General features: G+C 43.3%; 1 protein-coding gene across 12 annotated transcripts in view, besides 1 other annotated feature; it reads left to right on the top strand.

Annotated features, from left to right (window-relative positions):
- PACC1 (proton activated chloride channel 1) overlaps positions 1–26,688 on the top strand; it is a 50,959-nt gene that overhangs the window by 16,943 nt on the left and 7,328 nt on the right. For 3 of the 12 annotated variants that reach the window (NM_001377479.1, NM_018252.3, NM_001198862.2), the window contains 5 exons: positions 10,844–11,053; positions 12,519–12,670; positions 17,907–18,049; positions 20,238–20,382; positions 22,644–22,751. In NM_001377479.1, the coding sequence (NP_001364408.1) occupies positions 10,942–11,053; positions 12,519–12,670; positions 17,907–18,049; positions 20,238–20,382; positions 22,644–22,751 (660 nt within the window). In that variant the 5' untranslated portion in view covers positions 10,844–10,941. Of the gene's footprint in view, positions 1–10,843; positions 11,054–12,518; positions 12,671–17,906; positions 18,050–20,237; positions 20,383–21,059; positions 21,151–22,643; positions 22,752–26,688 lie in introns of all 12 variants that reach the window. The other 9 variants (XM_047424319.1, XM_047424317.1, XM_047424316.1 and 6 more) reach the window with 5 other exon arrangements.
- Positions 12,678–12,861: a silencer, noted in NCBI's record as "fragment chr1:212558425-212558608 (GRCh37/hg19 assembly coordinates)". NCBI's record gives its function as "represses an EF-1alpha promoter that drives an FKBP-Casp9 reporter gene in an ReSE screen in HepG2 liver carcinoma cells {active_cell/tissue: HepG2}" and the evidence as "EXISTENCE:reporter gene assay evidence [ECO:0000049][PMID:32094911]".

Raw genomic sequence — 26,688 nt, 5'->3', positions numbered from 1 at the left:
AGTAGCAAAGCTGCAGCTGGAGCTCAAAACTCTGACTCTAAAGCTCATGCTCGTAACCACTGCACAGTATATCTGCTCTTTCAGTCAGAAAATAAATGAATAATGGAAACCAAATTATTTCTTCCTTAAAATTCTCCTTGTGGTTTAGGTGCAGAACTAACATGACCCCCTCCACAGAGTCTTTGCTGATAACTGCCCTTCTCCCTGTGCTTCCCATTCTTCCTGCAGTTGAAGGAAACCTCATGTTTTATATCCTTATATGTTTCTGAATTCTGTAGCACTTTGGATTAGAGACCATCAGTCCTCCATTTGATATCTCCCTGAAGCACCTAGTACAAAATCATGCATGTAGAGTTGGTGCTTGATCTTGTAGAAGTAAAGAATGAATTATTTCCTTGTCTTTACCAACCCAGGAGACTTTGATAGTTCTGTGCTGAGCCTGCTTTTGTGCTTTAAATAAAGTAAAATTAAATAATTATGAGCAGATATTCTTTTGTGTCTTTGTATTTGAAATCTGCTATCAAAGCATATGGTTGGGTTTTATTCTTAATCCAGACTGACAGTCTCTGCTTTTTAATTGGACGGTTTAGTCCATTTACATTTGATGTGATTATTGATATGGCTGGATTTGGCTCTACCATTTTGCTGTTTTCTACTTGTCTTGCTGGGTTTTTTTGTTTGTTTCTCTGTTTTTTCTTTCTTGCAAGTTATAAACCTTACCATATTGTTGAGTAATTTCTGCTGTAGGCAGTCTTAATTTTTTTTAAGTAGCTTTTTGTTTTACTCACTTATTTAACATTTTCAGTGCTCTTTACATCTGAGAGTTACCATCTAGTGTCAATTCCTTTTAGCTTTCAGAATTTTTCTTAGCATGCAGTTTAGTGCAGGTCTGCTAGTGATGAATTCTCTCAGCCATTGTGTTTCAAAATATCTTTATTTCATCTTCATTTTTGAAGTTTTGCTGGATAGAGAATTATACTGGTAGACAAAAAATTTTTTTTCTTTCAGCATTTGAAGATGTTCCATTGTCTTCTGGCCTCCATTGTTTCTGTTCAGAAATTAGTTGTCGTTAATATCAGTGCTCTATATGTAATAGATAGATAGATAGATAGATAGATAGATAGATAGATAGATAGATAGATAGATATTTTTTTCCCTCACTGCCTTCAAGATTTTTCTCTTTTCTTTACATTAGCACTTTGATTATTATTTGCCTCGGGATGGTTTTTTTTTTTTTTTTTTAAGTTATCCTGGTTGGCGTTTATTGAGCTTCTTGGATCTGTAAGTTGTTGTCTTTCTCCAGTTTTGGGCCATTTTTTTTTCAGATTTCTTTTTTTTCAATATGTATATGTATATTTTTATTATACTTTAAGTTCTAGGGTACATGTGCGCAATGCAGGTTTGTTACATATGTATACATGTGCCATGTTGGTGTGCTGCACCAATTAACTCGTCATTTACATTAGGTATATCTCCTAATGCTATCCCTACCCCTTCCCCCACCCCACAACAGGCCCCGGTGTGTGATGTTCCCCTTCCTGTGTCCGAGTGTTCTCATTGTTCAGTTCCCACCTATGAGTGAGAACATGCAGTGTTTGGTTTTTTGTCCTTGTGATAGTTTGCTGAGAATGATGGTTTCCAGCTTCAGCCGTGTCCCTACAAAGGACATGAACTCATCCTTTTTTATGGCTGCATAGTATGCCATGGTGTATATGTGCCACATTTTCTTAATCCAGTCTATCATTGTTGGACATTTGGCTTGGTTCCAAGTCTTTGCTATAGTGAGTAGTGCTGCAATAAACATATGTTTGCGTGTGTCTTTATAGCAGCATGATTTACATTCCTTTGGGTATATACCCAGTAATGGGATGGCTGGGTCAAATGGTATTTCTAGTTCTAGATCCCTCAGGAATTGCCACACTGTCTTCCACAACGGTTGAACTAGTTTACAGTCCCACCAACAGTGTAAAAGTGTTCCTATTTCTCCACATCCTCTCCAGCACCTGTTGTTTCCTGAATTTTTAATGATCGCCATTCTAACTGGTGTGAGATGGTATCTCATTGTGGTTTTGATTTGCATTTCTCTGATGGCCAGTGATGATGAGCATTTTTTCATGTGTCTGTTGGCTGCATAAATGTCTTCTTTTGAGAAGTATCCATTCATATCCTTCACTCACTTGTTGATGGGGTTGTTTTTTTTTTCTTGTAAATGTGTTGGAGTTCTTTGTAGATTCTGGATATTAGCCCTTTGTCAGATGAGTAGATTGCAAAAATTTTCTCCCATTCTGTAGGTTGCCTGTTAACTCTGATGGTAGTTTCTTTTGCTGTGCAGAAGCTCTTTAGTTTAATTAGGCCCCATTTGTCAATTTTGGCTTTTGTTGCTATTGCTTTTGGTGTTTTAGACATGAAGTCCTTGCCCATGCCTATGTCCTGAATGGTATTGCCTAGGTTTTCTTCTAGGGTTTTTATGGTTTTAGGTCTGACATTTAAGTCTTTAATCCATCTTGAATTAATTTTTGTATACAGTGTAAGGAAGGGATCCAGTTTCAGCTTTCTACATATGGCTAGCCAGTTTTCCCAGCATCGTTTGTTAAATAGGGAATCCTTTCCCCATTGCTTGTTTTTGTCAGGTTTGTCAAAGATCAGATAGTTGTAGATGTGCGGTATTATTTCTGAGGGCTCTGTTCTGTTCCATTGGTCTATATCTCTGTTTTGGTACCAGTACCATGCTGTTTTGGTTACTGTTGCTTTGTAGTATAGTTTGAAGTCAGGTAGCGTGATGCCTCCAGCTTTGTTCTTTTGGCTTAGGATTGACTTGGCAATGCGGGCTCTTTTTTGGTTCCATATGAACTTTAAAGTAGTTTTTTCCAATTCTGTGAAGAAAGTCATTGGTAGCTTGATGGGGATGGCATTGAATCTATAAATTACCTTGGGCAGTATGGCCATGTTCATGATATTGATTCTTCCTATCCATGAGCATGGAATGTTCTTCCATTTGTTTGTGTCCTCTTTTATTTCATTGAGCAGTGGTTTGTAGTTCTCCTTGAAGAGGTCCTTCACATCCCTTGTAAGTTGGATTCCTAGGTATTTTATTCTCTTTAAAGCTATTGTGAATGGGAGTTCACTCATGATTTGGCTCTCTGTTTGTCTGTTGTTGGTGTATAAGAATGCTTGTGATTTTTGCACACTGATTTTGTATCCTGAGACTTTGCTGAAGTTGCTTATCAGCTTAAGGAGATTTTGGGCTGAGACGATGGGGTTTTCTAGATATACAGTCATGTCATCTGCAAACAGGGACAATTTGACTTCCTCTTTTCCTCATTGAATACCCTTTATTTCCTTCTCCTGCCTGATTGCCCTGGCCAGAACTTCCAACACTATGTTGAATAGGAGTGGTGAGAGAGGGCATCCCTGTCTTGTGCCAGTTTTCAAAGGGAATGCTTCCAGTTTTTGCCCATTCAGTATGATATTGGCTGTAGGTTTGTCATAAATAGCTCTTGTTATTTTTAGATACGTCCCATCAATACCTAATTTATTGGTGTTTTTAGCATGAAGGGCTGTTGAATTTTGTCAAAGGCCTTTTCTGCATCTATTGAGATAATCATGTGGTTTTTGTCTTTGGTTTTGTTTATATGCAGATTATGTTTATTGATTTGCATATGTTGAACCAGCCTTGCATCCCAGGGATGAAGCCCACTTGATCATGGTGGATAAGCTTTTTGATGTGCTGCTGGATTCGGTTTGCCAGTGTTTTATTGAGGATTTTTGCGTCGATGTTCATCAGGGATATTGGTCTAAAATTCTCTTTTGTTGTTGTGTCTCTGCCAGGCTTTGGTATCAGGATGATGCTGGCCTCATAAAATGAGTTAGGGAGGATTCCCTCTTTTTCTATTGATTGGAATAGTTTCAGAAGGAATGGTACCAGCTCCTCCTTGTACCTCTGGTAGAATTCGGCTGTGAATCCATCTGGTCCTGGACTTTTTTTGGTTGGTAAGCTATTAATTATTGCCTCAATTTCAGAGCCTGTTATTGGTCTATTCAGAGATTCAACTTCTTCCTGGTTTAGTCTTGGGAGGGTGTATGTGTCGAGGAATTTATCCATTTCTTCTAGATTTTCTAGTTTATTTGCGTAGAGGTGTTTATAGTATTCTCTGATGGTAGTTTGTATTTCTGTGAGATCGGTGGTGATATCCCCTTTATCATTTTTTATTGTGTCTATTTGATTCTTCTCTCTTTTCTTCCTTATTAGTCTTGCTAGCTGTCTATCAATTTTGTTGATCTTTTCAAAAAACCAGCTCCTGGATTCATTGATATTTTGAAGCGTTTTTTGTGTCTCAGTCTCCTTCAGTTCTGCTCTGATCTTAGTTATTTCTTGCCTTCTACCAGCTTTTGGATGTGTTTGCTCTTGCTTCTCTAGTTCTTTTAATTGTGATGTCAGTATGTCAATTTTAGGTCTTTCCTGCTTTCTCTTGTGGGCATTTAGTGCTATAAATTTCCCTCTACACACTGCTTTAAATGTGTCCCAGAGATTCTGGTATGTTGTGTCTTTCTTCTCATTGGTTTCAAAGAACATCTTTATTTCTGCCTTCATTTCCTTATGTACCCAGTAGTCATTCAGGAGCAGGTTGTTCAGTTTCCATGTAGTTGAGGGGTTTTGAGTGAGTTTCTTAATCCTGAGTTCTAGTTTGATTGCACTGTGGTCTGAGAGTCAGTTTGTTATAATTTCTGTTCTTTTTCATTTGCTGAGGAGAGCTTTACTTCCAACTATGTGGTCAATTTTGGAATAGGTGTGGTGTGGTGCTGAGAAGAATGTATATTCTGTTGATTTGGGGTGGAGAGTTCTGTAGATGTCTGTTAGATCTGCTTGGTGCAGAGCTGAATTCAATTCCTGGATATCCTTGTTAACTTTCTGTCTTGTTGATCTGTCTAATGTTGACAGTGGGGTGTTAAAGTCTCCCATTATTATTGTGTGGGAGTCTAAGTCTCTTTGTAGGTCACTAAGGACTTGCTTTATGAATCTGGGTGCTCCTGTATTGGGTGCATATATATTTAGGATAGTTAGCTCTTCTTGTTGAATTGATCCCTTTACCATTATGTAATGGCCTTCTTTGTCTCTTTTGATCTTTGTTGGTTTAAAGTCTGTTTTATCAGAGACTAGGATTGCAACCCCTGCCTTTTTTTGTTTTCCATTTGCTTGGTAGATCTTCCTCCATCCCTTTATTTTGAGCCTATGTGTGTCTCTGCACGTGAGATGGGTTTCCTGAATACAGCACACTGATGGGTCTTGACTATCCAATTTGCCAGTCTGTCTTTTAATTGGAGCATTTAGCCCATTTACATTTAAGGTTAATATTGTTATGTGTGAATTTGATCCTGTCATTATGATGTTAGCTGGTTATTTTGCTCATTAGTTGATGTAGTTTCTTCCTAGCATTGATGGTCTTTACAATTTAGCATGTTTTTGCAGTGGCTGGTACCAGTTGTTCGTTTCCATGTTTAGTGCTTCCTTCAGGAGCTCTTTTAGGGCAGGCCTGGTGGTGATAAAATCTCTCAGCATTTGCTTGTCTGTAAAGTATTTTATTTCTCCTTCACTTATGAAGCTTAGTTTGGCTGGATATGAAATTCTGGGTTGAAAATTCTTTTCTTTAAGAATGTTGAATATTGGCCCCCACTCTTCTGGCTTGTAGAGTTTCTGCTGAGAGATCAGCTGTTAGTCTGATGGGCTTCCCTTTGTGGGTAACCCGACCTTTCTCTCTGGTTGCCCTTAACATTTTTTCCTTCATTTCAACTTTGGTGAATCTGACAATTATGTGTCTGAGAGTTGCTCTTCTCGAGGAGTATCTTTGTGGCATTCTCTGTATTTCCTGAATTTGAATGTTGGCCTGCCTTGCTTGGTTGGGGAAGTTCTCCTGGATAATATCCTGCAGAGTGTTTTCCAACTTGGTTCCATTCTCCCCGTCACTTTCAGGTACACCAATCAGACGTAGATTTGGTCTTTTCACATAGTCCCATATTTCTTGGAGGCTTTGTTCGTTTTTTTAAATTCTTTTTTTCTCTAAACTTCTCTTCTCGCTTCATTTCATTCATTTGATCTTCCATCACTGATACCCTTTCTTCCAGTTGGTTGAATCGGCTACTGAAGCTTGTGCATTCATCATGTAGTTCTCATGCCATGGGTTTCAGCTCCATCAGGTCCTTTAAGGACTTCTCTGCATTGGTTATTCTAGTTAGCCATTCGTCTAATCTTTTTTCAAGGTTTTTAACTTCTTTGCGTTGGGTTTGAACTTCCTCCTTTAGCTTGGAGAAGTTTGATCGTCTGAAGACTTCTTCTCTCAACACATCAAAGTCATTCTCTGTCCAGCTTTGTTCCGTTGCTGGTGAGGAGCTGCGTTCCTTTGGAGGAGGAGAGGCACTCTGATTTTTAGAATTTTCAGTTTTTCTGTTCTGTTTTTTTCCCCATCTTTGTGGTTTTATTTACCTTTGGTCTTTGATGATAGTGATGTACAGATGGGGTTTTGGTGTGGATGTCCTTTCTGTTTGTTAGTTTTCCTTCTAACAGTCAGGACTCTCAGCTGCAGGTCTGTTGGAGTTTGCTGGAGGTGCACTCCAGACCCTGTTTGCCTGGGTATCAGCAGCGGAGGCTGCAGAACAGCGAATATTGATGAACAGCCAATGTTGCTGTCTGATCGTTCCTCTGGAGGTTTTGTCTCAGAAGGGTACCTGGCCGTGTGAGATGTCAGTCTGCCCCTACTTGGGGGTGCCTCCCAGATAGGCTACTCAGGGTTCAGGGACCCACTTGAGGAGGCAGTCTGTCTGTTCTCAGATCTCAAACCCTGTGCTAGGAGAACCACTACTCTCTTCAAAGCTGTCAGACAGGGACATTTAAATCTACAGAGGTTTCTGCTGCCTTTTGTTCGGCTATGCCCTGCCCCCAGAGGTGGAGCCTACAGAGGCAGGCAGGCCTCCTTGAGCTGCGGTGGGCTCCACCCAGTTCGAGCTTCCCGGCCGCTTTGTTTACCTACTCAAGCCTCAGCCATGGCAGGTGCCCCTCCCCCAGCCTCACTGCCGCCTTGCAGTTGGATCTCAGACTGCTGTGCTAGCAATGAGCGAGGCTCCGTGGGTGTGGGACCCTCTGAGCCAGGCGCGGGATATAATCTCCTGGTGTGCCATTTGCTAAGACCATTGGAAAAGCACGGTATTAGGGTGGGAGTGGCCCGATTTTCCAGGTGCCATCTGTCACAGCTTTGCTTGGCTATGAAAGGGAATTCCCTGACCCTTTCTGCTTCCCGGGTGAGGCGATGCCTCACCCTGCTTCAGCTCACACTCGGTGCGCTGCACCCACTGTCCTGCACCCACTGTATGACAAGCCCCAGTGATACGAACCCAGTACCTCAGTTGGAAATGCAGAAATCACCCATCTTCTGCATCTCTCTCGCTGGGAGCTGTAGACTGGAGCTGTTCCTATTCAGCCATCTTAGAACCCAATATCAATAGTCTTTTTTTTTTTTTTTTTTCTTTTTGAGATGGAGTTTTGCTCTTGTTTCCTAGGCTGGAGTGCAATGGCGTGATCTCAACTCACTGCAACCTCCGCCTCCCGGGTTCAAGCGATTCTCCTGCCTCAGCCTCCTGAGTAGCTGGGATTATAGGCATGCACCACCACGCCCAGCTCATTTTTGTATTTTTAGTAGAGACGGGGTTTCACCACATTGGCCAGGATGGTTTCGATCTCTTGACCTTGTGATCCGCCTGCCTCAGCCTCCCAAAGTGCTGGGATTACAGGGGTGAACCACCACACCCCCGGCCTCAGATATTTTTTGTGACCCATTTTCTGTCTCCAGTTACATGTCACTACACTGCTAGATACTGTAACAATTTTCCGGGCTCCATTTGGTTTTTTTTTTCCTTCAATATTTTCTTCAAATTGGATAGTTTCTGTTGATTTAACTTTGAGTTCACAAACTCTTTCTCTGCCATCTTTTGCTATTAAGCCTATACAGTGAACTTTTTATTTCATTTATTTCTTGTCAGATCTGGAATTTCCATCTGTTTTTTTAAATTTTATGAAACATTTTTACAGTGGTTAGATACACGTAATGTAAAACTCATCATCTTACTCATTAAAATGTAGAGTTCAGTGATATTAAGCACTTTCATATTGCTGTGCAACCATCACCACCATCCATCTCCACAATGCTTTTTCATCCTGCAAAACTGAAATTCTATATATTTGGCCATTGTTATTAGTTTCTGTTTCTCTATTGATCTTGTCTTTATTCCTTATTCAGATATTTTCCTTTAAGTGCTGTAAATTTTCTCTCTGCTAAATTGCAACACTGGGTCATCTTGGTGTTGGTTTCTATAGATTGCTTTTTTCTTGAGTACAGGTCACATTTTCTTGTTTCTTAGCATGTCTAGTGATTTTTGATTGAACACTGGACATTATGAATGATATAGAGATTCTGGATTCTGTTATGATCTTCAGAAGGGTATTTTTTTTTCTTGGCATATTGTTAATATGGCAAGATTTAAGCTCTAAACTCCTATCTCCCCTGCATTAGCCGTAGTTGAAATCTCCATGCAGTTCTTTCAATTTCCAGTTGTTACTTTTTGCTGGCCCCCCCTGGGTTCTCCAGCCAAGGATCTGAACATATATTTAGTTGCAGATTTGGGAGTTTCACCCCCTGTGTGGCTCCCTCCCTTTCATGGTTTTGTCTTAACTTTCTGGCTGCTCTTCCAGCCCTGAACTTTGTCCCTGTCACTCTGAACCATGCCTTATAGGGATTGGCATGTATTCTTAGGCAAAAAGCTACAGATGTATAAATCTCACCAAGTACAGTTCTTCTCTTTCAAGGGTAGCCTCTCTTTCAATTTCTACCTGCTTTTGATCATTCTCCCAGTGCCTTCAAATAATTTAAAATATGTTGTCCAAAGTTTATAATTGTTTTCTGTGGAAGGGTGATGTGACACTGCTACTCTGTCACTGTTGGAAGCCAGATGCCAAGCAGATACCTTTTGGGGCTTACGTTCAGATGCTTCCCTTGTTCTCAGCCTTGTGCTCAGCTGGGCTGTGGAGGAAATAGGACTTCTTCTCAGGGAGCTCCATTTTCAGCTGAGGAGCAGAGAGGGCACAGGGAGCCCTGTGGGAGTATCTTAGTCAGCTCAGACTGCTGTAACAAAATGCCACAGTTGAGTGGCATAAACAACAGAAATTTATTTCTCACAGTTCTGGAAGCGAGAATCCAATATCAAGGTGCCAGCAGGATTGAATTCTGGTGAGGCCTTTCTCCTTGGCTTGCAGATGGCTGCCTTCTCATTGTGTCCTCACATGGCCTTTTTTCCTGTGTGCATGTGCTCCTAGTGTCTCCTCCTCTTATAAGGATTCTGGTCCTATTGGATCAGGCCTCATCCTTATGGCCACATTTAACCTTAATTATATCCTTGAAGTCCCTGTCTCTAAATATACTCACATTGAGGGTTAGGGCTTCAACCTGAATTTGAGGGTGGGGGATACAGTTTCGTCCATAACAGAGATTAATCTAGCTTCTAGCCTCAGGATTTTGTGAGGGAGGTAGGGGAGACAGAGTTGTGTTGTACCAATAGCATCAGGACGTGTTCAATCAGTCACCATGTAAATGCAGAATGTTCCAGGCATAGCATGAAGGGCTAAGGATTCAGTTAGGGATAAGACTGGCCCCATCCCTGCCCTCATGGAACTCACAGCCTAGGAGGATAAAAGATGTATAGACATGACATTGCAGAGTGATGAAGTAGGGGACGTACAGGGCTCCCTGGGAACACTGAGGAAGAGGTGCCCAAATAAAGGTTAGGGGTCAGGAGAGGCTTCCTCAAGAAAATGTCTTTCTTTCTTTTTTCTTTTTTTTTTTTTTTTGAGATGGAGTTTCGCTCTTGTTGCCCAGGCTGGAGTGCAATGGAGTAATCTCGGCTCACTGCAACCTCCGCCTCCTGGGTTCAAGCAATTCTCCTGCCTCAGCCTCTTGAGTAGCTGGGATTACAGGCATGCGCCACCACGCCCAGCTAATTTTGTATTTTTAGTAGAGACAGGGGTTTCACCATGTTGGTCAGGCTGGTCTCGAACTCCCGACCTCAGGTGATCCTCCTGCCTCGGCCTCCCAAAGTGCTGGGATTACAGGCTTGAGCCACTGCGCCTGGCCAAGAAAATGTCTTTCTAAATTAAAATGCTTCCATGGAAGGATGGCGTGACCAAGCTACTCTGTCACTGTTGGAAGCCAGATGCCAAGCAAAAAGCTTTCGGGGCTTAGGATGAGTGAAGCATCAGCTGTGGAAGAAAAGAAAATCAAGCAGAGGGAATGGTAAGTGTGAGGGAATCCCGGGTTGAGAAGGGCACTCCAGAAGAACAGAAAGTCGATGAGTAGAGGTGGAGCTAGAGCTGGGAGAACTGGGGAAGTGGAGCAGTGAGGGATAAGGCCAGAGAGGTAGGTTGGGGCCAGCTCACTTGTTGGATTGTAACTGCCTATCCCTCTAGAGAGTAAACTCCTTTTTTCTGTTCTTTTTGTTTGTTTTTTGCTTTTTCTTTTAACATTTTTATCGTTTTTTATCTTTTATCTTTTTTCTTTTGAGAGTAAACTCCTTAAAGACAATGAATAAGTCTCCTTCAGCTTGGTGTCCTCTACCTGGCAGAGAAGCTGTGTAGTAAATGTTTACAGGTGCCCTTTGTTATGATTTGTGGGGTGAGGTGGAAAGGTTGGGCGTGCAGGTGACTTCACCTCCTTGGTGAGGCAGGCAAGGGCCTGGAGGTTGCTGGCCATCTCTGTCTGTACCTTGTCCCTGTGCCCTGGGTCACATGGTGTTTTGTTGTTGTCAGGCCTGGACAGCGAGTCCGCCTCCAGCAGCATCCGCTTCAGCAAGGCCTGCCTGAAGAACGTCTTCTCGGTCCTACTCATCTTCATCTACCTGCTGCTCATGGCTGTGGCCGTCTTCCTGGTCTACCGGACCATCACAGACTTTCGTGAGAAACTCAAGCACCCTGTCATGTCTGTGTCTTACAAGGAAGTGGATCGCTATGATGCCCCAGGTAGAGCCTGCCCCTGGGCCAGGCATCAGGGCCCCAGATCTAGGGTGTCAGCTGGCAGATACTCCCTGAGCTGCCGTTGTATTTGTGGTACTACGGGCAGGGCAGAGGAGTCCAACCAAGCATAGTCTAGGTATAGAGTCTATGCCCAAGGAGCTGCTGTTGGGAGTGTGTTACGTGCTGAGGACAGAAATGGACAGAGCCTGGAGCAGCTACTGCAGGCTACTAGAGGGGTCAGGGAAAGCTTGGCAGAGAGGTAGGATTTGAGATGGGCCTCGAAAAGCACATAGATGGGAAGAGAGTGTCTTTGGGATGGGGATCAGCAGAGCGAAGGGGTGTCTAGGGAGGCAGAGGGCTTCTCTGGAGAGGATGAGACTAACTTGGCTGGGGCCAGAGGGCAGGGATGAGGAGAAGCAGGAGTCAAGGCTGGACTGTGGGGTGGGGAGGATGGCAGGGGAGGCGAGGCCATTCAACCCTGCCTGGAGAGGGACTCCCAGGCCACACTGGGTATACCTGTCTCACTGGGGTGTCTGGTCCCTGAGTGGGGAGTCCACTCTGCTATAGAGCAAGCTATCTGCTCTGGGCTGCAGGGCTGGCACTGGATGTTCTAGGGGCTGTAGAGTAAATGAGGAGGCATGAGCTGTGTGACTTGGGCCCTGTCCACCCAGTGTGTGCCACCTGTTCTGCCCACAGATGCCCCTGAGTAACCTGTGGGAGGGCCTGCTCACATGGCAGAGCCAGAGTCCGGGTGCCCTCTCTCTGGGGCTTCCTGCCAGCCTCCAGCAGAGTCAGGTGTGCTGGTCATGGCTCCTCTGCCCATCTCTTCCTGTCTTGTGTTTGTCCCTCTTCTCTGTGTGTCTGCTTGAGTCTTCTTTATCTGTACGTTTTACTTTCTCTGTCTGGTGTCTTAGTGTCTCTGAAGTCTGTCTGTCTCTGATGCCATGTGCTGCTGTCTTAGCATTGCTGCCCTTGAGGCTGGACAGCTACTGTCAGTAGAGGTGCCTGGGCTGGGAAGAGGGAGGGACTCTTGGGATGTGACTTGCACACTTGGGGCTCCCAGTCTAAGAGACAAAATGAGTTCTGAGGAGTTCCACAGTTTAGAGCCTCCCAGTGATTCTGCAGGTGGGTGTTGGCCCAGAGGGGTGGCACAGGGGCTGAGTCAAGAGACACTCCTTCGGAGGGTGTGGAGCGGGGCTCTGAGGTGGAGTGGGTTTTGATGTGGGCATCAGGGCGGCTGGATCCCAGGTTGGCCAGGGGCTTACTGAGGAGGGGCTTGTGCCCTCTGCTACAGCGGGGCTTTCTGAGGCCAGGGGATGTGGCTCCTCACCCTCTGAAACCCTTTTCTTCTCCCTTCCCTGCAGTCCTCCAGGGAGTCCAGAACGTAGGTTGTTGGTAGGTGTGAGATGATTTCAGGGATGTGGTCAGGAGTGTGATTTCTGACACTTGCTTTTCCTGTTTGTGCCCCCAGGTATTGCCTTGTACCCCGGTCAGGCCCAGTTGCTCAGCTGTAAGCACCATTACGAGGTCATTCCTCCTCTGACAAGCCCTGGCCAGCCGGGTGACATGAATTGCACCACCCAGAGGATCAACTACACGGACCCCTTCTCCAATCAGACTGTGGTAATTCCTGTCTGCCTGAGCTGGGTCTGGGCAGCTGCTCTGTTAGCCCCGCAACCCAAGGCCCCAAGTTTCCTTTTTCCTAGGAGTCCTTCTTCCACTCACTCAGTGTGGGGCCTTAGTCCCCAAGGAGACATGCGGCTGTGCCATGTGGACACTTGGCTGTGGTTGGCTCACTTGCATTCAGGGAGGACAGTGAGGCCTCCAGCCTTTGCTGAGTAATGCTCAGGGATTCCTGACAGTGCGGTGAGACCCTGTCCCCAATGGAAGAATGGCAGGGCTAAAGGGTGGGGCTGGTGCGATATAGCGAAGTGGGTCCCATACCTGACCACTTGACAGAATTGCCAGGATACTTTTTGAAAATATGAATTTCTAGGTTCCATGTGAAGCCAACTGAATTATAATTCCTTAGGTGGGGCCTGAGAATCCATAGTTTGAAATTAATACGCCAGCGTAAAGGAGCGTCGGTCTGGGGACAAGGACTCCTGGGCCCTGGGCTGGCCATGCTGTCGTGCACAACACAGCACGGCTGGGAAGGATGACTGAGGGATGGGGTTAGGAGCGCCCTGGAGGAGTGGCACTGCACAGGGTTTCAAAGACAGGGTAGGCGTTTTGTATTGATTTACATCTCATCTTTTTCATTTCATATTCTTGCTTCAGAAAGCATTGAAAGGGGCTACAATAGTTTTCCAGATGAAATTGGGAAGGAAAGGTTTTCTAGGCAGAGGAAATTGCACCATGACCTAAAGGGAAGAGACGACATGTTGTACTTGTGCCTCTGGGCACAATTGCAGTTGGTGGGGAAATGTTTCATAGGGTCAGGAGCCCTGGAAGACTGATGGGTGATGAAGCTGTGGACAGAGTAATGGCCAGATGAGAAAAGAACATGCATCGTGCTGTAGAGCCACACTTGCTCCCTTGGGTAACAGGGAACTGTTAGTGGGTTTTAAGATGAAAGAATAACACTAATTTTTTTTTTGTTAGTATGTGAACGCTAGGCCCCCTCCTAAAATCCTGCTAAAATGATTCTCTAAGGAATGAGATAGAACAGACTAGAACATCAATAATAGCTTTGCACGTGAAGAAAGGATATCACCAGTGGACCAGACATTTTGAGGAACTGGTATAAAGCATAAAAAACAGCTTGGGCCAGATTGGTGGAGCAAACAAATTAGAGCAAATCCCTAACCCAAAACAGATGAAGGAGAGACCTGTTGTAGAGGTACAAGCTTTCCTTCCAAACCCCCAGCTTGGAATCAGCACCGTTAGAGAGCAGGGTAGTCATTACTGGACTGCCTGTTGGCTGGGCCAGACACACCCTATACCCTCCCCAGGTATGCAGAGCCGCTGGGGATGGTTGCCTCTGGGTAAAAGACCCTGGAACCATTCTCTACAGAAGCGAAGGGAAGATGATTCTTTGTGTAGGCATAGGAAACAGAGCAGACTTCTACAATGGAAAAGGAGAGAGAACTAAAGGAAAGGACTCTTCCCAGAGTAAAACACACTGGAAAACTCAGTGTGCTTCCACAGAGCATACTTAGCTTTCCCATGCAAGGGAGAGGCCTATTAGAGAAACAGAAATTTACTACTTTGGAAGAAACCAAAACCCAGACCTATACTAGTCAACCTAATCCTTCATTCATAAATAAGAATGGAGAATTAATGGTCACCAGACATTTGCATGAAACCAATGACAGAAAAGGACCAAGATGAACAAATAGAATGGACTCTAGAATAGGGAAGTAGAAGCTAATTAAAACAAAAAGGAAAGCAACTTTTAAACAATTCCAATGTGGAGTTATATGTATAATAGAAGCTCTTTGTCTGGATTCCCAGCTCCCTTCATCTCTCTGTAAAACACGCTAATGAAAACTCGTGGCTGCTTCCGTCCCACTAGGTGCCTATTCTCTGGATGCCCTCCTCTCCTCCCCCAGTTGAAGTGTATGCTTAGGAGGAGTCAGTGAGGGTCATTTCCAAACCTGTGTAGGCCAGTTGCACTTGTTACAATAGTTACATAATTCGACTAAAGAGTGTAAAAACCCTTGAAATAAGGGCACAAAGAGAGAGTTGTTTTTATGGAAATGAAGTTGAATGCAGCTACTGCCCCCAAGTCTGAGTGTTGGTTCATCTCCTCCATCAATTTCTTGAAGTCCACAAGCTATAAACTAACAGAGAAGTTATCTCCTCCCTATCCACCAAGTTTCCTACCCAAACCAGCATATAGCAGTGGAGGAAGAATATGATGAGAGCAGTAGAGCTCCCATTTGGAAAAGGAAGAAGGGGAAGGGCCCGCAGCTCTGCTCTGCAGCAGTGGTGGAACCCTGCAGGGTGGGACCGGTGAGACGCCTTCTTGGCATGAAGTAAGCTCCTTGGTTTGAACCTGTTGCTGCCCTCAGAAAGAGACTCCTGTGTGCTCTGGCCTCGTCCCCTGGGAGCTTCTGCCTTGGTGGTAATGCTCTGTGGCCATATCTGAAGTGGACATTAGAAAATACGCCCTCCCTGGTGGCTGCACAGCTTGTGCCACTCACTTCCTGCTTGTGTGAGCAGCTTTAGGGCTAAACAATTGCAAACTTGGAGGGCGGCTTCTTACCTGCCTCCTGCCACTGCCTATGTTTGCAGTGAGATTTCAGAAATGTGTAGGCTTCTGGCTGTTCGCATCTAATCAAGTTCATGTGAAAGTGACCCCAGTCGAGGGTCTCATCCTGTTGTATTTGTAAAATCTTCGGAATTTTGCTGATTTTCTGGTGCTTTCTTTCATGCTCTCAATTTAATGGTAGTTATTTTTTACCAAATGCTCTGCTCTGGCACAATAAGGTTTGCCACCTTTCCAGCCTGCGGGATCCTTATCTATTTCCTTACTGCCCGCCATTTTCCCACTGCCCAAATGTTTGGCTGTTCCCTCATTTTGATTTTTTTTGCAACCATAAAACACTCCAGCCGGGCGTGGTGGCTCATGCCTGTAATCCAGCACTTTGGGAGGCCGAGGCAGGTGGATCACGAGGTCAGGAGATCGAGACCATCCTGGCTAACATGGTGAAACCCCGTCTCTACTAAAAATAAAAATAAAAAAATCAGGCGTGTGTAGTGGCACGTGCCTGTAGTCCCAGCTACTTGGGAGGGCAAGACAGGAGAATCGCCTGAACCCGGGAGGCGGAGCTTGCAGTGAGCCGAGATCACGCCAGTGCACTCCAGCTTGGGCAACAGAGCGAGACACCGTCTCAAAAAAAAAAAACAAGAACACTCCAGTGTCAGCTAACAAATTGTGTATTAGTCAGAGTATAGGCTAAGCTACCAAATAAAAACAAAACCTGCAAATACAATGGCTGAGATGAGGGAGAAGCCTCCTTCTCTCTCTGAGAACAGTCCTGGCATGCAGGCCGTGTGGCGTAGTGGGCAGTACTGCCTCATAGGATAGTCCAGCCATGACTTTTGTCTTGTCACTGTGCTGTCCCCTGGGCATTGTTCTGGTCCATGTGGGCAGTGTGTGTGTGTGTGTGTGTGTGTGTCACTGTGCTGTCCCCTGGGCATTGTTCTGGTCCATGTGGGCTGTGTGTGTGTGTGTGTGTGTGTGTGTGTGTGTGCAGTGTGTGTGTGTGTGTCTGTGCACATGCCCAGGCCTGGGAAGGTGGAGGGCAAGCAGTTCCCTTTTCAGGAAATGGGGTGGAGTTGAATGAGTCCCCTTTTCTTTCGCACATTAGGAACTTTATCACGTGGCTACATTTGAGGGCAGAGATGAGGCTCCAGCAGGGGGAGTGGATTCTGCTGAAATCTGGGTTGGGAAAGCCATTCTAGTACTAAAGGAAGAAATGGATAATAGAAACCAGGGACAGTGCTTTCTGTTGCACACTTAAAACAAAATGGTACAGAAAGGTTGAAAAATAAATAGATGGACAAAGCTGTCTTGAGAAGATGCAACGAAAACCAGAAGTGACAATATTAATAGTGTGGAATTCCACGTGCAAAAGTTTGCAAGAAGGATGTTTAATATTGATAAGAGGTTCAACTCCATACTCTCCACTAAGACGACTGAACAGTTCCAAAACTTTATGTACAAAACAGCATGACATTTATATATTTTAAGCAAAACCCGTTAGAAGTAAAAAATACCATCACTTTAGAGCACGATTTAAACACCCCTCTCAGAAATTCACAGATCAAATAGACAAAAACTAGAAAGGATAAGAATTGAATAGTGCAGTTAATAAATTTAGAGTATGTATGTGTGTGTATACATGTGGGGGCACAAAACTTTGTAACTGACAGTGTACTCACTCTTTTTCAAATCTCTGTAGAGCATTTATTTATAAAAGTTGATGTAAAAGACATTTTTTTCTAAAATTAATCTATAAATTCAGTTTCTATCACAGTTAAAAGTCCCAGTGAATTTTTTTGTGGAACTAAGCAAGCTAGTCTTAAAGCATACTTAGAACACGTTCAAAAATAACCAAGACAAGTTTGGGGATGGGGAAGAGTAGTAGGGAGAGCACCTTCCCAGATCTCAGAACAGTGGAAAAACCACAGGAATCAAAGTGGCACAGTACTGGACAGAGACAGACAAATGTGTGGGCTCTGCTAGGGCCAGAAGCAGACATAGATATTGGTTCTGCATGGAATTTAGTATAGGATAAAGGAGGGAGGGGAAGAGGCTTCAAAACCTGTCTCTATGCATTGTTTGGGAAGTAGGAGTTAGAGCCCTATTTCACACTATATACAGAGCTTAAAGCCAGGTATATAAAGTATCTAAATGTAAAAAAGATTAAAAAGTGCTATAAAGAAATAGAGGAGAATATTGATATAATTTTGGCTTTCCTCAGCAAGCAAAACCCAAAGCCGTAAAGAAAAGGATTTAAGGTTTTACTACGTTAAATTTAAAGTTTCCATAGGACAAATGACATTGGAAACAAAGTTAAAAGAAAAATGACAGACTGGAAGAAAAGATTGGCACACATAACAGATGAAAGTGATCATCCTTGCTAAATTAAGAGCTTCCATAACTCAAAGAACCAATGAGAAAAGTGGACAGAGGATGAGCTGCATTCAGCTCTGGTTGGGCATCATATGGGGAAAACTCCCCAGGAATGAGCATGAGTCCCAGCCCAGTCCTGTTGTTGGCTAGTGGTCCCTTTGGAGACCACTGGGCAAGGAGCTATGGGCTTTCCAGTCAGTACTTCTGCCCTCAGACCCAGAGGCCTCTGTGTACTCTCCCAGGACTGAGACTCTGTCCTTTTTCTCTCTGCAGAAATCTGCCCTGATTGTCCAGGGGCCCCGGGAAGTGAAAAAGCGGGAGCTGGTCTTCCTCCAGTTCCGCCTGAACAAGAGTAGTGAGGACTTCAGCGCCATTGATTACCTCCTCTTCTCTTCTTTCCAGGAGTTCCTGCAAAGGTGGGCTTTTAGAGTTCACAGTGGGCTTACTGTCTACTTTTTATCTTATTCCAGCTGTGTATGTCCCAAGGCTAGAGACGGAGGGGTGAGGGCAGGGAAGGGAAGGGGCATTCTCAGATGACCCACTGGCCCAGGAAGGGACCTCATGAGCTTGGCCGGTCCACTCAACATCTTATCACAAAGTTAAGCAAATCTGGTGTGGAGGAGCATGCTGGCTCTCCATGCACATAGTGCTGGCTGGTTCTAGAGAGATCATTTGGTCTCACCATTGCCTGGGGCTGCTGAGGAGTAGGGGAAGTTGCCTTTGATTTGTAAGTCCCTTTGAGAGCAAGTTCTTGTGTGGTTCCTTGGTTTCCCCCACAGTGTGCACAGGAACCACATCTTGCCCTTAGTGCGGGCTTAATGTATGTTTGCCTGAAATACAGTTGGTCCTTGAACAACTTGGGGTTTGGGGTTACCAAACTTAACCACTCCTGCCTATGCAGCCAAAAATTTGTGTATAACTTTTGACCCCCAAAACTACTAACAGCCTACTGTTGACAGAAGCCTTACCAATAACATAAACAACACATATTGCGTGGTTATATATATCATAGACTGTATTCTTACGATAAAGTAAACTAGAGAAAAAAAATGTTATTAAGAAAATCATGGCCAGGTGTGGTGGCTCACACCTGTAATCCTACCACTTTGGGAGGCCAAGGTGGGCGGATCACGAGGTCAGGAGATCGAGACCATCCTGGCTAACATGGTGAAACCCCATCTCTACTAAAAATACAAAAAATTAGCCAGGCGTGGTAGCGGGCACCTGTAGTCCCAGCTACTCAAGAGGTTGAGGCAGGAGAACCGATTGAACCCAGGAGGCAGAGTTTGCAGTGAGCTGAGATTGCGCCACTGCACTCCAGCCTGGGCAACAGAGCGAGACTCCAAAAAAAAAAAAAAGGAAATCATAAGGAAGAGAAAATATACTTACTATTCATTCAGTGGAAGTGATCATTGTAAAGGCCTTCATCCTCATCGCCTTCATGTTGAGTAGGCTGAGGAGGAGGTTTGGTCTTGCTGTCTCAGGAGTGGCAGAGGCAAAAGAAAATCCGCACGTGAGTGGACCCAGCCAGTTCAAACCTGTGTTGTTCAAGGGTCTACTGCATCTCTGGTATGAGGATATAAGCTCTGCCACCTCTCTTAGTCTTCGATTTACAGTGATGAATGTCCCCTGACCATCAGAAAGTTCTTGTCTGCTCCACACACACTGCTTTGGGGTCACACCGTGGAGCCTAGAGGGCAGGAGAATTTTCTTCATGTGCCTGAGTTGAGAGGGACTCAGTTCCTACCAGGTCCTGCTGAGCCCAGAGGCTCCATTCAGAGCAAGCAGGGAGGCAGCTACAGGGGCAGGGAGGCTGCTCCCCAGCTGGACATGCAGCGAGCTGCCTCCATTCCACACCACCACTGCTTTGTTCTTCCACCCCAGAGCTCGGAGCCTCTGCCTTAGCATTTTCCACCCTTTCTGCCACCTAGAATTCCCTCTCCCTTCCCTGCTTCAAGCTGGCCATCTTGCCTTCCTCCTGGAAGACTTTCCCCGGGATCCCACCCCCACTCCACGCTCCTTTCGTGAGCTTCCTCGGTATGCTGCTGCAGTTTTTACTTGTTTTTATGTTCGCTTTGATTTTGCTGCATCTGCACCGTCTTGGGGCTGATGCTGTAGGTGACCCATCTGGCTGAGACCTCCCCAAGGAACCCTCTTCCCCTCTTTGGGCCTTCCATGGGAGCTGACAGGCTGGTGAGGGCTTCCTCAGGCTCTGCTGAAGTCCAGAGTTCTCTGAGGAGCTGTGAGCGCCATGTTCTGGGGAGCTTCTGCCAACTTCATTGCCGACAGCTTTGGTAGCCATCGATAGGAATGATGGGAGGAGGGAGGAAGATTTCTCCCACTGGGAGCTTCAAGGATCATGTTCCTGCCTTGAGGCCAGTGACTACCCCTCCATTTGGAAACCAAATGGAGAGAAAAGAGGGATGGGCCTTGCTTTTGCTGGTGACTGACAGCCCTGTTGAGGCAATCACAATTTGGAGAGGAGGCAGGGAGTGGGCAGCATCCTGGTTGTGCCAGCAAAGAAACCAGCTTGCAGTGGGGGCTTCGACTCCTGCTGCCAGACCTGCATTGACCTGGATCTTCCTTCTCCTTCCTTCCTCCAAGCCCAAACAGGGTAGGCTTCATGCAGGCCTGTGAGAGTGCCTATTCCAGCTGGAAGTTCTCTGGGGGCTTCCGCACCTGGGTCAAGATGTCACTGGTAAAGACCAAGGAGGAGGATGGGCGGGAAGCAGTGGAGTTCCGGCAGGAGGTAGGTGGCTCTGGGTTTGCTTGAAACTGCTGGTGACTTTTCCACATTCGAGTCTGAGGTGGAGGGAAGCTTTGCAGAGAAGGCTCCTTTGAGCAGGGCCTTAAGGGTGAGTAGGCCTTGGTCAGGATGAGAAGGGACTCCCATGGAGGGCTTCATATGCTATGCCAGGGAGTCTGTGTGTGCTTCTGCAGGCAGCGCACATACCGGCCAGTCCTCACGGAATGCATGTGTGGGGCAGAGATCATTGTGGCTTGCAGAGAGGTCAGTAACTCGCCCAGCTGTGTCTGATGTCTTGCATCTAGCAGCACTTTGAGGGGCTGGCAGTGGCCTAGCAGATTGATTATTTGCAGGGAAGAGAGACTAGACACAGTGGTCCCAAGTGTGCATGTTGATCCTTTTCCTAAGGTCCTCTTCAGCTCTCACAGGTGTCACAGCGAGAGATGCCAGGTGTATCTCCTGGCTGCTAGGCCAGTGGGCTGAAAGCTTTTTGATCAGATTTCCCATTAGTAAAAACTTTTTGATCATATACTCCATATACATATAACTCTGCAGGTGATATAACATACTATTATTGTCTTAGTGTTATATACACTTTAAACATTCAAAAATAGAAATGTTAAAAGGATGAGATAAAAATAAATAGTAAAAAAAGCTAGTCTTTTCTTCTTGTATCCCAGTGGCTCGGGATGCTCATCTGGAGCAGAAGGACACACTCCAGTCAACTAGGCCATCACTGGCCAGAAGTTAGGCCGGAGAAGACTGTCTTGGGTTAGTCTTAAACAGGGCCCTGTCATGAGCCCTAGCTCCTCAGACTAGTCCAGGCTGGTTACTTGGAAGAGGCTCAAAGCCAGTTTTCTTCAAGGAAGCAAGGCTATTTTTCCTGCCTTGGGAAGTGACAACCCCTCCTGGTGACTGGACCTTAAAATCTTCCTGTTTTGTAAGATAACTGTCATCTCCCAGATTTTTACCTCCAAATTTGCTCCAAGAAATTCAAGTCCTTTCTTATCTGGCCCCACAGCAGCTCTGAGGAAGGAGACTGTGTTCACTTACCTTACAATTAAGTTCAACCCCATCTACCCTGGATTTTCTGATAGCTCCCACTGTGATCCGAAACCAAAGGGTGAAAACTCTAGTGAACCTGTACATTAAAGAAATTTTAGCATCTTTTATTACTGTCTAAATTGGAAGTCTTTTGTTGGCATTATGAGCTCTTTTGAACAAAACTAAAAAATGTGTTTTAAAATCACATTTTAGAGTTTAGAGTGCTCTCACATAGGTATGCCCCTATACTGTAGTGACGTAGGCATTTTGTTCAGCTTTGTGGGTGGCAAAGCTGAGGCTCAGCTTCGATGATGGATCTGAGCCTCTGGGTGGAGCTGGTTTCTGCCTTTGTTACCTGTCTGCTCTCCGTTACACCACACAGCGTCTTTAGTAATTGACAACCAGATCTCACCAAGCACACCTACTAAGTATTTACAGGGAATGCTCAGCTGTGTGGATCTATGCAGCTGTGCTTTGTCCCTGTAAACTTGAAGGGTTGAAACAAGCGTTGAAAATTCAGAGAAATACTTGATCTGAAAACCAAGTACTTTGAAATTTGGAATTTTTATTGCTTTTAATTGTGAGTCTTACATGGTAGTTTGAATATGGTTTATTTTTAATATTTTATTTTTTTTGGAGACAGAGTCTTGCTCTGTCCCCCAGGCTAGAGTGCAGTGGCACTATTTCGGCTCACTGCAACCTCTGCCTCCCAGATTCAAGCGATTCTCCTGCCTCAGCCTCCTGAGTAGCTGGGATTGCAGGCGCCCACCACTACACCTGGCTAATTTTTGTATTTTCAGTAGAGACAGGGCTTAACCATGTTGACCAGGCTGGTCTCAAACTCCTGACCTCAGGTGATCTGCCTGGCTAGGCCTCACAAAGTGTTGGGATTACAGACGTGAGCCAACATGCCTGGCCTGAATATGGTTTAATTGTGAGTACAGATACCTAGTGACAAATTTCAGTGACAATCCAAAACACCTATTGTAAATCACAGATCCCATTTCCCCAGAGAACTGTGGAAACCAAGGTAAAGCCTTGGCTTTGCTACCAATGTCAGGATCTTGTATATATGAGATTTTTGCCACTCTCTCTCCAAAAAATAGTGTGAGGAGAACCACAGACTATGATCCCCTGCCTACTCTCTCTCCTTTCGCTGGGCACAGGCAAGGGAAGGGCACACAGAGGTGGTAACACTGCTTTCTCTCCTCCACATCTAGACAAGTGTGGTTAACTACATTGACCAGAGGCCAGCTGCCAAAAAAAGTGCTCAATTGTTTTTTGTGGTCTTTGAATGGAAAGATCCTTTCATCCAGAAAGTCCAAGATGTGAGTATTTAAGATTATGATAGTATTATTTAAGATTATGATAGTATTATTTAAGATTATGATAGATGTATTATTTAAGATTATGATGCTGCCCTGAAGTCTTTTGGCTCATTCTTGTAGACTGATAAGTCTACCTACCTGTCCTCATCTTTTTTCATAGCACAAATCAGCTTGTAATTTATATTTATGACATCAATGTTATATATTCTTTGTGTTTGGTCTTGTCTTCATCACTAGACTTTCTCTGTAAAGGAGGGGGACTTTCATTTTGCTCACCATAATTTATCTGGGATATAGTGGAGTGCTTAGTGCAAAGTAGCTGCTTAGTAGTAATGTTCGTTGAATAAATTGAGTAGAAAGCATTAAGTTACCACTATACAGGTTACTGCAGTTGCAAGTTATTCTTTTTCTTAATGGTTCCCTGTAGGATAAATACTACTTGTAGTAAGAACATAATGGTACAAATAAAATATTAACAAAGCATTAATTAATGCCATATTTTAAAAAAATTGATACATAATATACATATTTATGTGGTACATGTAATATTTTGATAAATGCAGACAAAGTCTAATGATCAAAAATCAGGGTAGTTGGGTTATCCATCATCTCAAACATTTATAATTTCCTTGCATTGGGAACATTCTTCTAGCTATTTTGAAATATATAATACATTCTTGTTAACTATAATTGCTCTACTGTATTATCATGTCATCTATCTTACTGTATTTTTGTACCCATTAACCAATTTCTCTTCATCTCCTGCTTCCCCCAACCCTTCCCAGCCTCTGGTAACCACCATTTTACTCGCTACCTCCATGAGACTCATTTTTTTTTAAGCTCCCACATGAGTGAGAACGTGTGGTATTTGTTTTTCTGTGCCTGGCTTATTTCACTTAACATAATGTTCTCCAGTTTCATTCGTTTTGCTGCAAATGACAGGATTTCATTCTTTAATGGCTGAATAATATTCCATTGTGTTTTATATATATATATACACACCACATTTTCCTTATCCATTCATCCTAAGTGTTGATGGATACTTGAGTTGATTCCATATCTTGGCTGTTGTGAATAGTGCTACAGTAAACATGGGAGTGCGGATATCTCTTTGATACACTGATTTCCTTTTTTTTTTTTTTTCTTTTCTTTTTTGATTTCCTTTCTTTTGGATATGCACCCAGCAATGAGATTGCTGGATCATATGGTAGTTCTAGTTTTAGCTTTTTGAGGAACCTCCATACTGTTTTTTCATAGTGAGTTTAATAATGTAAATTATTACATTCCCACCAACAGTATACAAGCATTCCCCTTTTTCCACATCTTCACCAGCATCTGTTACTTACTGTCTTTTTGATAGTGGTCATTTTAACTGAGGGGAGGTGATAACCTTATTTTGGATTTGGTTTGCATTTCCCTGATTGATTAGTGTTGTTGAGCATATTTTCATATGCCTTTTGGCCATTTGAATATCATCTTTTGGGATAAATCTCTATTCAGATCTCTTGCCCATTTTAAAATTGAATTATTTGGCTTTTTTTGCTATTGAGTTGTTTGAGTTCCTTATATATTCTGGTTACTAATCCCTTGTTGGATGCATAGTTTGCAAATAATTTCTCTCATTCTGTAGGTTGTCTCTTAACTTTGTTGATTGTTTCCTTTGCTGTACAGAAGCTTTTTAGCTTAATGTAATCCCATTTTTCTGTTTTCGCCTTTGTTGACTCTGCTTTTTGAGGTCTTACCAAAAAGATCTTTGTCCAGACCAGTGTCCTAAAGCATTATCCCAGTGTTTTCTTCTAGTTTCATAATTTCAAGTCTTAGATTTGAGTCTATTTTGAGTGGATTTTTCTATATAGTAAGAGATAGGGGTCTAGTTTCATTCTTCTGCATATGGATATCCAATTTTCCCAGCACCATTTATTGAAGAGATTATCCTTTCCCAATTGTATTTTCTTGGTGCCTTTGTCAAAAATGAGTTCGTTGCATATACATGGATTTATTTCTAGATTCTCTGTTCTGTTCCATTGGTCTATGTGTCTGTTTTTATGCCAATACCATGCTGCTTTGTTTACTATAACTTTGTAGTATATTTTGAAGTCAGGTAGTGTGATGCCTTCAGCTTTGTTCTTTTTGCCCAGGATTGGTTTGGCTATCTGGGGTTTTTTGTAGTTCCATACAAAATTTAGGATTTTTTTTCTACTTCTGTAAAGAATGTCATTGGTATTTTATAGGAATTGCATTCAATCTGTAGATTGCTTTGGGTAGTGTGGACATTATGCTAGTTCTTCCAATCCATGAACCATAGGATATTTTTCCATTTTTTGTGTCCTGTTCAATTTTTTCATCCCTATTTTTACAGTTTTCATTATAGCGATTTTTTTACTTCTTTGGTTAAATTTATTCCTAGGTATTTTATATTTTTATAGCTATTATAAATGGGATTGCTCTCTTTTTTATTTTATTCTTGCATTGCTATAAGTTTTTTAGATTGCTCGCTGTTAGCATATAGAAATATTCCTGATTTGGGTGTGTTGATTTTGTATCCTGTGACTTTACTGAATTTATCAGGTCTACCAGTTTTTTGGTGGAGTGTTTAGGTTTTTCAAAATATAAGATCATATCATGTGCAAACAAAGACAGTTTGACTTCTTTTCAATTCAGATGCCCTTTATTTCTTTCTCTTGTCTAATTGCTCTGGCTAGGACTTCCAGTATTATGTTGAACAAAAATAATGAAAGTAGGCACCCTTGTCTTGTTCCAGATCTTAGAAGAAAGACTTTGAATTTTTCCCCATATGATGTTAGCTGTGGGTTTGTCATGTATGGCCTTTATTGTGGTATGTTCCTTCTATACTCAGTTTGTTGAGTTTTTTGTTTTTTTTTTGTTTTTTGTTTTTTGTTTTTTTTTTTTGACACAGTTTCATTCTGTCTCCCAGCCTGGAGTGCAGTGGCATGATCTCAGCTCACTACAACCCCTGCCTCCCAGGTTCAAATGATTCTTGTGCTTCAGCCTCCTGAGTAGCTGGGATTACAGGTGCACATCACCATGCCCAGCTAATTTTTGTATTTTTAGTGGAGATGAGGTTTCACCATGTTGGCCAGGCTGGTCTCAAACTCCTGACCTCAAGTGATCTGCCCACCTCGGCCTCCCAAAGTGCTGGGATTACAGGAGTGAGCCACCATATCCGGCACATTGAGAGTTTTTATCATGATAGTATGTTGAATTTTATTAAATGCTTTTTTACCATCTATTGAAATGATTACATGATTTTTGTTCTTGATTCTGTTAATGTGATGTATTACATTTATTGATTTGCATATGTTGAATCATCCTTGCATCTCTGAGATGGATCCCTCTTGATCATGGTGAATGGTCTTTTTAATGTATTATTGAATTTGGTTGGCTGATACTTTGTTGAGGACTTTTGCATCTGTGTTCATCAGAGATATCGGCCTGTAGTTTTCATTTTTTGTTGTGTCTTTGTCTTGTTTTGGTATCAGGGTAATGCTGGCCTTGCAGAACCGAGTTTGGGAATATTCTTCAATTTTTTGGAATAGTTTGAGTAGAATTGCTATTAATTTTTTTTTAATGTTAGATAGAATTTAGCAACGAAGCCATCAGGTGCTGGGCTTTTCTTTTATTACTGCCTCTGTCTTGTTACTCATATTGGTCTATTCAGGTTTTCTGTTTCTTCATGGTTCAATCTTGGTAGACAATGTATCCAGGAATTTTTCCACTTCTTTTAGGTTTTCCTTTATTGGCATATAGTTTTTCATTAAGTCTCTAATGATCCTTTATATTACTGTGGCATCAGTTGTAATGTCTTTTATTTTGGTGTGATTTTATTTATTTGGGTCTTCATTATATTTTTCTTAGATAGATTTTGTTTAACTTAGATTTTGTTTAACTTTTCAAACAACTAACTTTTCTTTCTTTT

The sequence above is a fragment of the Homo sapiens genome, chromosome 1, assembly GCF_000001405.40.
Source record: "Homo sapiens chromosome 1, GRCh38.p14 Primary Assembly".
Classification (NCBI taxonomy): Eukaryota; Metazoa; Chordata; class Mammalia; order Primates; family Hominidae; genus Homo; species Homo sapiens.
Note: the sequence above shows the minus strand (reverse complement) of the source record. Positions and strands in the feature narration are given on the sequence as shown.